This window comes from Homo sapiens, chromosome 1 (genome assembly GCF_000001405.40).
Source record: "Homo sapiens chromosome 1, GRCh38.p14 Primary Assembly".
NCBI lineage: Eukaryota > Metazoa > Chordata > Mammalia > Primates > Hominidae > Homo > Homo sapiens.
Genome location: NC_000001.11, coordinates 44,363,047 through 44,374,730, shown reverse-complemented (window position 1 = coordinate 44,374,730; position 11,684 = coordinate 44,363,047). Strand labels below are relative to the sequence as shown.

Here is an 11,684-nt window from a genome sequence, read left to right as displayed (position 1 = left end):
TTCCTGGTTTATAGATGGACAGCCATCTTTCATTGTGTCCTCAGATGGTAGAAGAGGCAAGGGATCTCTCTGGGCTTTTGTTTTTTTTATTTTTATCTTTTTTTTTCCCACCCTGTCTTATGGTATGGATGGGATTTCTTTTATAGGGCACTAATCACATTCCTTGAGCCTTCATGATCTAATCACTCCCCAAAGGCCCCACCTCCAAATACTCTCACATTGGGGATTAGATTTCCACGTATACATTTTGGCGGGGTGGGCCACAGACATTCAGACCATAGCAGTGATTTTATTTTGTTTATTGACTGTCATAGGTTGTGTTACCCAGGAAGCAGATTCTGAGACAAAGTGTAGCATGCAAGTGGTTTTTAAAGAGTGTTCTTGGGATCAACACCGATGGAAGTGAGGGAGGCAGTATTGGTGCAGAGGGAGAAGTTGAGCTGTGATGCAGTCCCAACAAAGGCCTCAAACAATCCTATAGGAAGCTCTGGAGCTGGAGTGGTCTTTCAAAATTATTTGAATTGGGATAAGGGGGCTGGGATCTTTATATTCTAGTGTTGATCAGCCCCTAGAAGGAGAAAGGATGTTAGCCAAAGAAGTTTTTCTTCAACTGCAGCAGTCCCTCAACAAGGCTAACACAGCTGAGGCCTAGCCATAAACAGCACTCCCAGCAACTGGTGAAATAATTCCTTTTCTTCCTGAAGGTGGATCTAGGGTGGATCTAGGCAACAGACCACAGCGACTACTGCAATTTTTCCTGGTGCCACTTGGATTTACTTCTTCTTCTTTTTTTTTTTTTTTTTTTTTGAGATGGAGTCTTGCTCTGTCACCCAGGCTGGACTACAGTGGCATGATCTCAGCTCACTGCAACCTCCACCTCCCGGATTCAAGTAATTCTCCTGCCTCAGCCTCCTGAGTAGCTGGGATTACAGGAGTGTGCCACCACGCCTAGCTAATTTTGTATTTTTAGTAGAGATGGGGTTTCATCATGTTGGCCAGGCTGGTCTCGAACTCCTGACCTCAAGTGATCTGCCCTCCTCGGCCTCCCAAAGTGCTGGGATTACAGGTGTGAGCCACCATGGCTGGCCGGATTCACTTCTTTATATAAATTGTTAGAACATCTCCTCAAGGATTTTGGTAGGCCTCTCTTCCTAAGAAAAATTTAGAAGAGAAAGGTTTTCAGAATAGACTATAGATCCCACTGTTACAGCTAGTCTTAGGGCCGCAACTTATTATATTCCCTTTCTACTAACAATTCTAGACTCCCCTTACCCTCAGGTAATGCATTTGTTGGTCTTGGTAGCTTCAGTTGTGGTATGACCCAGACTGTCATCACTAAGGGATCTCAGGCTGGTCACCATGCCCTTCTCAAACTGCGGTTGTTGCACTTGTCCATATATCATCAAAACAGGAAGGCAGGATCAATAAATGCTCAAGTACCAAGTGGATCACTCTTGGTTGCCCCCATTGTGTAATGGCAGCCCTACTGCCTTCCAATGATTAGAATCAATTACCTCTGCCAAGATAGGGTGACTTTTCTTCTTGCCTCTTGGTCCCCTAGCATGAACCATATTATAACCATATTATAACCAGGCAGGAACCATATTATATAGATCAATGTGAATCTGGCTGTGTCTCCGAACAGAAGTGTTTCCCCTTTGGCAACCAGCTCCTCTAAATTTGCAAAGACCATAATTTCCACAAGTGGATCATTAGGAGTAATGGTAAATGGGGCTACTCCTGCTTCTATCCCTTGGTTCCCAGACCCAATTGCAGACACATCTCCATATAAAGGTCTTTGACTTAAAGTATATACTGTGTCCTAGAACAGCGTTTCTCATCTTTGACACTATTGACATTTTGGACTGGATAATTCCTTGTTAGGGGGTGCTGTCCTACATGTAGGATGCACATCCATGGGCTCTACCTACTAGATGCTAGTAGTATTATCTTTCCTCTCTGTCCCTACCCCCCAGTTGTGACAGTAAAACATGTATCTACATTTTCTTTTTTTCTTTTTTTTTGAGATGGAGTTTCGCTTTTGTCACCCAGGATGGAGTACAATGGTGCAATCTCAGCTCACTGCAACCTCCGCCTCCCGGGTTCAGGAGATTCTCCTTCCTCAGCCTCCTGAGCAGCTGGGATTACAGGTATGCACCACCACATCCGGCTAATTTTTTGTATTTTTAGTAGAGACGTAGTTTCACCATGTCGGCCAGGTTTGTCTTGAACTCCTGACCTCAGATGATCCATCCACCTCAGCGTCCCAAAGTGCTGGGATTATAGGCATGAGCCACCACATCTGGCCTTTTTTTTTTTGAGACAGAGTCTCACTCTCACCCAGGCTGGATTGCAGTGACACGATCTCGGCTCACTGCAACCTCTGCCACCCGGGTTCACGCCATTCTCCTGCCTCAGCCTCCTGAGTAGCTGGGATTACAGCTGTGTACCACCACACCTGGCTAATTTTTTTGTATTTTTAGTAGAGATGGGATTTCACCACATTGGCCAGGCTGGTCTCGAACTCCTGACCTTGTGATCTGCCTGCCTCGGCCTCCCAAAGTGCTGGGATTACAGGCATGAGCCACCACACCCGGCCGTGTCTCCATTTTCTCAGTGACAGAGCTCAGAGAGAAAAAAAAAAAAGTCTCCAGACATCGCCAGACATTGCCAAGTGTCCCCTGGAAGGCACAATTGTCTCCAGTTGAGAGCCAGTATCCAAGAAATGGTGCCCCATTCTCATAAAATATCACATCGTAGCTGGCGTTTCAGCTATGTCAACAGAACATTTCATTTCTCTGTTGGGCTGGCAGTTCCTGGGTTCTGTAGTATGTGATATGTACAATCAACGGATCTCATTTATGGGCTCACTGTTGCACCTCCTTTGTTGTAAAGTAGGTCCTTTTTTCTGATGTGGTGGATACTATATGAGATCCTATGCTGGTAGATTAAACACTCTGTGTAAGCCTTCACTAAGTGGTGTTGGCTAAAGCCCTACAAGGCAGAAAAGGCAAACTCAGAATATGGGTCTATTCCTGTCAAAATGAATTTCTGTTCCTTCCAGGATGTAAAGGGTCCAAAATAATCAGCTTGCCAACAAGTGGCCAATTGATCTCCTCAATGGACATTGCCATCTTGGGGCCTTAGCATTGGTAGGTTGGACATTCTGCAGTGGCAGTAGCTAGATCAACTTTGGTAACTGGAAACCTGTGTTAGTTGGCCCATGCATAACTTCCTTCCATCCCTGCCATCATGGCTACTTCATCTATGCATTCATTGCACCAACATCAGGGCAGCCAATGACAGAAGCTGGCTGATATCAACTGGCTGAGTCATTTTGTTTACTTGATGGTTTAGTGCCTCTTCCATGGTGGATGCTCTCTGAAGGGCATTAACAGGTGATACAAAGATCTTCACAATTTGTATTCATCCTCATATGTCCATTCACCTGCTACTACCCCAGACTGTCTTGTCTGTGGTCCTCCAATATTGCTTCCAGGCCCTGGCCAGTCATCCCAATCATTGCCCACTGCTCATGAGTCCATATATATTCTAACCTTGAATTACTTCTCTTTCCAAAGTAGATGACCAATGCTTTATTCACTGGGATGATTTTCCCTCACCTCTGTCTTTCAGCGCAGCCACTGTCCATTTTCAGCTTGTACCCACATACTGGGTAAACCCATCCATCAAAGTAGGGCTTTACCCTCCTCTTCCCTGATCATAAGGCACTTCTTCACACAACCTATATGTAAGCAGAGGAGAGGCACTGATGCCATGTGGTAGATGACATGGGGGGCTGGGATACCTGCTCTGCAGCTTGCTTGTGTCCTCTAGTCCTGTTCATGCTCAATCTCACCATGTGTCTCTTCCATCTTAGGATGAATTATTACTTGGCCTGCCTAATCTTATGACTTGGTAGGTCTCAGAACCCAGTTTGTTATTTTTATTTTTGTAGAGACAGGGTCTGGCTATGTTGCCCAGGCTGATCTTGAACTCCTGACCCCAAGTAATCCTCCTGCCTCAGCCTCCCAAAGTTTTGGGACTACAGGTGTGAGCCACTGTGCCTGGCCCAGAACCCAGTTTTTATTATAGAGTTAAATGACCTGCATTAAAAATCATGCAGGGGCAGAGAGAGTACAGGCCCATAGAGAAGGTTTGAAAGGACAGTGGAGATAAGGGGAGAATTCAAATGTCTCCTGTTTTCATTTTACTGATCCTGCTTTATGTAGAACAGTTACTTTCTGTGTGGCAGGTATTCTTCTAGGCTCTTTACATGTATTATTGATGTAATCTACACAACCTATGAAGTAGGTATCATTATATCCATTTTACAGAGAAGGAAACTGAGATTTAGGCAGGTTAAGGAACTTCCTTAGGAGTTTAAGTTGGTGAGTAGTGGAACAAAGTCTGAATCCCAGGACTGTCTGACTCCAAGGTTTATTCTTTAAATAGCCATACTGTTATCCATTCTCTCAACACCAGCTGCCATGAGATAAAACGAGGAAAGAGGTGTGTATGTATGTATGTGTGTATGCGATGGGGAGTAGAGGAACCTTTTCTAGCTGCGGCTGTGCTGTGCTATGCTGAAGAGCCTCCAGTTTCTTACCAGTTCATTCAGTCCTACATCCAGCAAACGTTCACTGAATACCTCTCTGATACAGAATAAAAAGGACTGAGACAGATGTTTTGCTTCTATACCCTTGCAACTTCCCTTAGGGAGGGTGTTCCTACAAGGGGAGGGTTGCTACTCACATTTTGAGTAGAGAAAGCAAGGCCTCTGTAGGAAAGGAGGTATTCACTTGCCCAGGATAGCTTTAAGGGCTGGAGAAAGGATAAGAAGGCTTGGCCATCTGGCCCTAAGACGCAAACTGCTCTCCTTCCCTGCTTCCAAGAGCAGCCCTGCAGGTCCTGGGGAGAGGTGTTGACAGTCTGGTCCTCAGAGTTCTTTTTGATATAAGCCTGTGTGTCAGTCTTCCCCTTCTCAGAGGTCTCGGGTCCCTGATGTCTCAGCAGTACCCTCTCCCACCTCATCATTAGAGCTATTGATGACTTTCTGCCTCATGCACCTGAGCTTCTACTTATTAAGTAGCCACCTGTCCACTCAATCTTCTGCCACTCCCTGGGTGCATTTGGAGCTGCAGTCAGACCCATGGGCCAGGTTTTTTAATTCAGCCTGGGAATATTAACCACCACAATAATAATCACTTACATTTAGGCTGGGTGCGGTGGCTCATGCCTGTAATCCCAGCACTTTGGGAGGCTGAGGCAGGCAGATCACCTGAGGTCAGGAGTTCAAGACCAGCCTGGCCAACATGGTGAAACCCCATCTCTACTAAAAAATACAAAAAAAAAAAAAAATTAGCCGGGCGTGGTGGCGTGTGCCTGTAGTCCCAGCTACTCAGGAGGTTGAGGCAGGAGAAACTGCTTGAACCTGGGAGACAAAGGTTGCAGAGAGATAAAGGTTTCAGTGAGCCAAGATCATGCCACTGCACTCCAGCCTGGACAACAGAGCCAGACTCCGTCTCAAAAAAAAAACCCAAAAAACACTTACATTTAGTCAGCACTTACTGTATGCCAGGCCTTGTGTCAAACCCTATACAGGAACGATTTTCTTTCATCCTTGGGGCAACGCTACAATGGAGGCCCTGCGCTAGCACTGGAGGTGGAGAATGCAGTTGACATGCAGCCGCAGCTCTTTCGGGAAGGATTCTGCTGCCCCTTGACTCCCCCAGCCTCACTTGTCCTACACAGCCAGACCACTGCAGGACCTGCTGCTCTGGCCTGCCTGCAGCTTTGGGCTGGTTTCCCTTGCCCGTTTCCTTGCCTGAACAGGCATCTCCACCAGGTCAGCTCCTTCCCCTCAGCTTCCCTTGTTCTTTTCCTGGCCTTGGCTCATGCTGTTCCTTCTGCCCAGAATCCCCCTTTCCCCTTGTCTGCCTGGTGAAATCCATACTTACCAAGCCTTGCTTTAATGTCATCCTGACCTCCCTGCCCTCCCCTGTCAGGATGAATTGCTCCCTCCTTTGTGTTGCTGAACAGCACTTATCGCAGAGAACTGTAGTTACTTGTTTCACCACTCAGTCTGGGAGAAGAGACGGCAGAGACTGGTCTGATTCACCTCCTTGTCTCTAGGGCTCGGGGGCTGCCCAGTGTTTGACGAAGCCCATTGGGATTGGAGCGGGGGCTGTGAAGTTTGGCTGAGGACATCTCTGGGATGCGACCTTGGTTCTTCCTGCATTCTGATCTCTAACTTCTCTCTCCGTGGTTTGCCAAAACTGGATTTCAGAGACTAAGACAGGATCTCTCCCTCAGCTGGAATATGTTGACTGTCTCTCCCCTCCAGAAGAACCTCTTTCTTTGGTGGCCAACTTGTTGCCTGTGTCCTGCCTGGTATCCCCTCCAGCCTTGGTGCTCCCAGCTCTCCCCCATTTAGCAGCATCTGTAGATTTCATTAACTTGCTACTTAACCCCTCTTGCTCAGATCAGCTGTGAAGATGATAAATCAGGCCCAGGGCTCATCCCTGCAGTGGCCTTCTTCTCCACACCCCTCTCTAACAAGCCTCTGGCTGCCCCTATTCATCACCAGCTGCCCTCTCTTTCTTCTGCAGTTTCATGGCCCCCCCTATTCCCCTCCACCACAGACCATGTCAGGGTTACAGCCCAGCCACTTTGGATTGAATTCTGGAACCACACTTGGAGACAAACCCTGGAGCCTCACCCAGGGGCAGCAGGAGGTCGTAGGCCCTGGTTGGGAAAGGATGGGGAAGGCTAAGGGAGCACTGGATCCCCTTTCTAGCCATGGGACCAGGTTCATTTGTGTTTAAGAAGGGGTAGGGCCGGGGTTAGATTGGACCTGTATTCTCACTCCCTTACTCAAGACCTCACCGAATCTGCTATTCTGCTCACAGGGAGGGCCACCTGGACCTCAGTGGAATACCGGAGTTAGGTCAGTGTGGCAAGCAGTGTGGTTTGTCTGGAACTTAGCAGAATGGCTCTTTTTCCTCCTGGGTGGGAGCCACCCTGGCTCCTTTCCTAAGCTCTGCCTAGACACTGACTCCAATTTTCCTTCTTCCATGTGTTACCTTGCCCTCTCCTCTTCTAGACTCCAGGTCTCTCCTCTTGACTTCTTTCTCTTTCCTTTCCATGCCTCATCTCCTATTTCCTTCTCTTAATTTTTTTCTAGGTATAAACTCCCTAGAAGGAACCATCCTAGATGTCAGGGGCCTAAGCTTTTTGTAGTTCTGAGCAGGGCCTTTCTGCTTTTTCCCATCCCCCAGAGATCCCTCCTTTCCTGGGTCCCCTTTATTTCTACATCTGCCCCCATTCTTGCTCTCCTTTTATCCCCCAGTTCCTCACCTTCATTCTCAGCCTTCACAGGAGACAGTGTCAGAGAATGTGGAGCATCCTGCCCAGGCTCACAACAGGTTCTTGAAAAACATCCATTAAGCCCAGATTGGAGTCTCCCCATCTTTGTTTCTTCGTCGTCCCTTCCCAGGCCCTGGACGATCCTCCACCCTCCCTGCTTGTAAGCAGGAGGCCCCTCCACTGGCACCCTCCTTCTGTCCAGTGAGGGGCAGGGGCGTCCAGGCCTCTGGAAGCTCATTCAGCCCCTCCCCGCATGTGCGCTTTTGTCAGGTGCTATTTCCACAATGTCTTCATTACCTCCTAATTGGCCAAATCTCTTTTCTTTATTTTTCTTGTTAAAGACAGATTTAAAGAATGAGTTCAGCAGCTCAGCCATTTTCAGACCATCATTAATTTCCCACCTTCTTATTTATTAATGGGGCAACTTCCTTGCTGGTATTTCTTATTCCCTGGATATCTCTGTAAAAGCCTGCCTTGCTCGTGCAACCCCTGGGACCAGTGCTAACTCACTCTGACTTTGTGCTGCCCTCAGCTGCTCTGCAATTCCCTCCGCAGCCCTGCTGCGCTCACAGTCCTACCACCCACAGCTTGCAGCGAGGAGAGTCTAGAACGCCCCTGCATTCTAGGCACAGAGGCTTCCTTCCTCTGCACAGAGTGGAACGAGACTCCCAGTTCTCTCCTCCACCCTTACCTTCTTCCACTGTATTCCAGGTCCTACACTAAGCTGAACATGTACAGTCTCATTCACTCAAGACCTTAAGGAACAAAAGGGGAAGCAGAAGCTCAGGGAGCAGCAATGACTTGCCCAGAGTCACTTTGCTCAGAAGAGGAAGAATCACGAAGTGAGCCCAGGTTTGCCTGGATCCCTGGCTTGAAGTTTACCTCTATGCCAGCCCACCTCAGGGAGGAGGTTATGGTTAGGATAAGTCTTGATACAGAAAGAGAAATGAGGACCAGTGAGACAGCAGCAGCACTGTGGGAAATAGCAGTTGGTGACCTGAGGATTAGCAGGACTGCAGTCAGCAAACTGTGTTGGGTGACCTGCCTCTCTCTTTTGTACCTTCACCTCTGTGGGTTCTACAGTTAAAGGACTCGTGTTTTAACGGCGATGTTACTAACACTTGGGAGCAGTTACCTGGGAACCCTCTGCATGCCTCTGAAGGGTAAGCCTGTACACACAGCTCCCACTGAGTCCTTCCAAATGGATTCTCGGTAGTTGCCTTTTAATTCTGGTTCTCCAGGAGCCTCAGCCCATTTCTCCAGGTGAGTGGGCTAACCTGCTGCTGTCCATGCATGAGTGTAGGTGAGAGTCGGTAAACACTGGACTCCTTGAGCTGACAGCTACTGCCATGGAGCCCAGGTCTTGGTCTGAGCACATGCTTAGTCCACTGATGGTTCCTAAACCTTCTCTAATATGAGTGACAAGGACTTGTGGTGCAGTCTTGTTAGGATTCCTCCTTGGGTCTTTCTATAATCAGAAATACTCTTATTATCCCTAGGCTCTGAGCCCAGACTCCAGGTGAGGGCCTATTTTGCCCAGGGCCCAGTGGCTAAGGCTGCGGCTACCTCCACGTTGCTGGTGAGTGGTGAGATGATGATGAGGACAGTGATCCCTCGTCAGGGTACAGGCCTAACACAAAGACAGCCTGGAGGTCTCATGGCTGCCTCCAAATGCCAAGTCATTGCTTTTCCTGTTGGAAATGGAAGCTTTGGGCAGGCCCTTAGGAGGCTCAAGGGAAGAGAGAAGAGAGAGAACTCAGAGCAGAATCTTCCTGCCCAATCTGGAACTTCAGTGGCCCCCCAGCAGCAGTAGCCCAGGAGCAGCAGCAGTGCCAAGAAGGAGTCCCCTGGGACCAAGCCCTGGAGCTGTGTTTTTACACTAAAAGACCTTGTTTCTTGTCTCGTCCTGGTCATAACCCTGCTTAATAGAGACATCAAGATGAATGATTGAAGCTGCCTCTCACTGCAGCTGGAAGGAGGGCAGCCTGGGTGACCCTGGACTGAGGGGACACTATGGGGATGGGGTTGAGGTGGGAGGGGATCTGCAAAGCATCCCCCCTCCAACACTGAGCCTCAGCTTTGGGAGCTGAAACCTCTTGTCCCATAAGAGCTTTCTGAAGGCTGCCTCATCCAACAGGCCTTTTTTCTGGGATGAACATCTCCGGCTGTGTTCTGCCTCCCCAGCATCAGGGAGGGGATGATACAAGTAGGAAAAGCCACAGGTGTATAATGGACAACAGTGACTTTTACATATACAGGCTTTCAAAGAGCTTTGATAAGCTTCCATGCACATAGCTTTTCGTATCTATGAAAACAACAGATAACACTGATTGGGTGTTTTCTGCGTGTTTCAAAGGCTGTGCTTTATATGCATTGTTGTATCTGATCATCACCACAGCCCCATGGTACAGGCCAAAGTACTGTCCCCAATTTACAGATGAGAAGACTGAAGCTTAGAGAAGTTAAGCCACTTGCCCAAGTTCACTCAGCTAATAAGTAGTGGACTTGGGCTATGAGCCCAAGCAGTCTGATTTCAGAGCCCGTACGCGTAACCACTGTCATCGTTCGCTGCCTCTGGTTTTACAAATTGACCTAGCTTGGAATTGGGAGGAGGGTAGAGGAGGACTGAGGTTTTGTATCAGATAGGGAATTGATTTAGAGGTCAGAGACAATAGTTAGGGATAAACAGGCTCATCTCTGGATGGGGCTGCAGAAGCGGTGGGACCCCAGGGAGCACTGCTGAGACAGGCCTCATTTAGCATGTTTATGACAGGTCTGGCAGAGGGCAGCTCAGGAAAAGCTGCCCCTTCAGAGATGGAGATGACACCAAACACTTTTGGGCAGGAAAATGTCTTGCTTTTTATCTTCCCCCAGCCACCCCCCTTACCCCTTACCTGATACCTTGCTGGATATGGAACAAATATTCAATAAACGGCTTCTAAAATATAGATGCTAAAAAAAAAAGTAAGAGTCACAGTAGTCTTAAACCAGACTCAGCAGAAAGAAAAATGCTCTGTGCCTACTGATGTGAGTGGACATGTTTAGGGGAGGTGGGAAGGTGGGAAGGTGGGGAAGGTAGGCCAGAGAGATAGCGCTACTAAAGTAGGATGATGGTGCCCTCAAAACCTTGCTACTCAAGGTGTGGTCTGAAGAGCAGCAGCACAAGCTCCCCAGGAAACTTGTTAGAAATGCAGAGTCAAGGCCTTTTCCTGACCCACATAATCACAATTTACATTTTAACAAGATGCCCAGGTGATTGGAATGCACATTAAAGTTTGAGAAGCACTGCCCTAACACAGAAGCTCCAGTAGTGGCTCTCTATTACCCTCAAGACCAAGTCCAAACACCTTAAGAACTCTCAGAAGACTATGCAGGATCTAACTCTTGCCTATGTCTTCAAATTCCTCTTTCATCACTCCCCTTGCACACGTTCTGTTCCAGTCCTACTAACTTTCTTTCCATCTTCACGTGGGCCATTTCTTTGCTTAGTGCCTTTGCTCACGCTATTCTCTTCACCTGGAATGCTCTCCCCTCTTCAATCCCTTCTCAGTCTAAGAAATTCCTACTCAACATTTAAGACTTGACTTAAATGTCACTTGTTCTAGGAGGGCTTTCCAGGCTGTAAGGGATGCCTCATCTTTAAATCCCTATTGCAAATGCTGTCTATAATCACAGTTGTCACTCTGAATGACAATTATTTCTTTACCAGTATGTCTCCTTCATTCGAATGTAAGCTCTATGAGGGCGGGGACTGTGTCTCTTGTTCATGTTCCTGTCTTGTGCTTTTTCATGGAACATAGCACAACATATGTATTCGAAGAATGTTTGTTGAATATTGAGAAAGTATATACTTGGAAAAGAATGGGTTCAAGGTCTTAGGACTCTGCTGGGGTTGCTAGAAGAGATGCTCTGAAGGCTTCAGATGCCTTCCTAAAAACCCTCTAGAACTCTCAGGTCTTGGGGCTGTGGTCAGACACTGGTTAGACATTAAGATTGCTCAGCAAGCCCCTGCCCTGTGGATTACAGAGTGCTGTTCAGGGCAGAAGATGCAGGAAGGGCTTGGGGCACTCAGAAGATGGGAAGGAACTGCCACTAAGCAAATGCTTCTTGGAGCAGGGCATCATTCTCCAGGAGTTCAACAGGTGGAGATAGGAATGGGGTAGGCACCCCCATTGAGAGAACAATGCTAGCAAAGGCTTGGAGGCTGAAAAGTGCAAAGCACCCTGACGAGTAGTAATTTGTCCCTTGGGCCTGGAAGAGAAGATGAGTTAAAAGAATGACTAGAAAATGAGGTTGGAAGCAGAGGCTGAAGCATG

The 11,684-nt window shown here is 47.8% G+C and overlaps 3 annotated features.

The window, feature by feature from the left end:
- Nucleotides 259–469: a silencer, noted in NCBI's record as "fragment chr1:44839934-44840144 (GRCh37/hg19 assembly coordinates)". NCBI's record gives its function as "represses an EF-1alpha promoter that drives an FKBP-Casp9 reporter gene in an ReSE screen in phorbol 12-myristate 13-acetate-treated (for megakaryocytic differentiation) K562 erythroleukemia cells {active_cell/tissue: K562(+PMA)}" and the evidence as "EXISTENCE:reporter gene assay evidence [ECO:0000049][PMID:32094911]".
- Nucleotides 856–1,025: an enhancer, noted in NCBI's record as "experimental_8167 CRE fragment used in MPRA reporter constructs". NCBI's record gives its function as "activates a minimal promoter by MPRAs in K562 erythroleukemia cells, with activity observed for the non-introgressed 1:44839463 variant allele {active_cell/tissue: K562}" and the evidence as "EXISTENCE:reporter gene assay evidence [ECO:0000049][PMID:34662402]".
- Nucleotides 5,775–6,307: an enhancer, noted in NCBI's record as "NANOG-H3K4me1 hESC enhancer chr1:44834096-44834628 (GRCh37/hg19 assembly coordinates)". NCBI's record gives its function as "activates a minimal SCP1, AML or CMV promoter by ChIP-STARR-seq in naive and primed H9 embryonic stem cells {active_cell/tissue: H9 hESC(naive and primed)}" and the evidence as "EXISTENCE:reporter gene assay evidence [ECO:0000049][PMID:30033119]".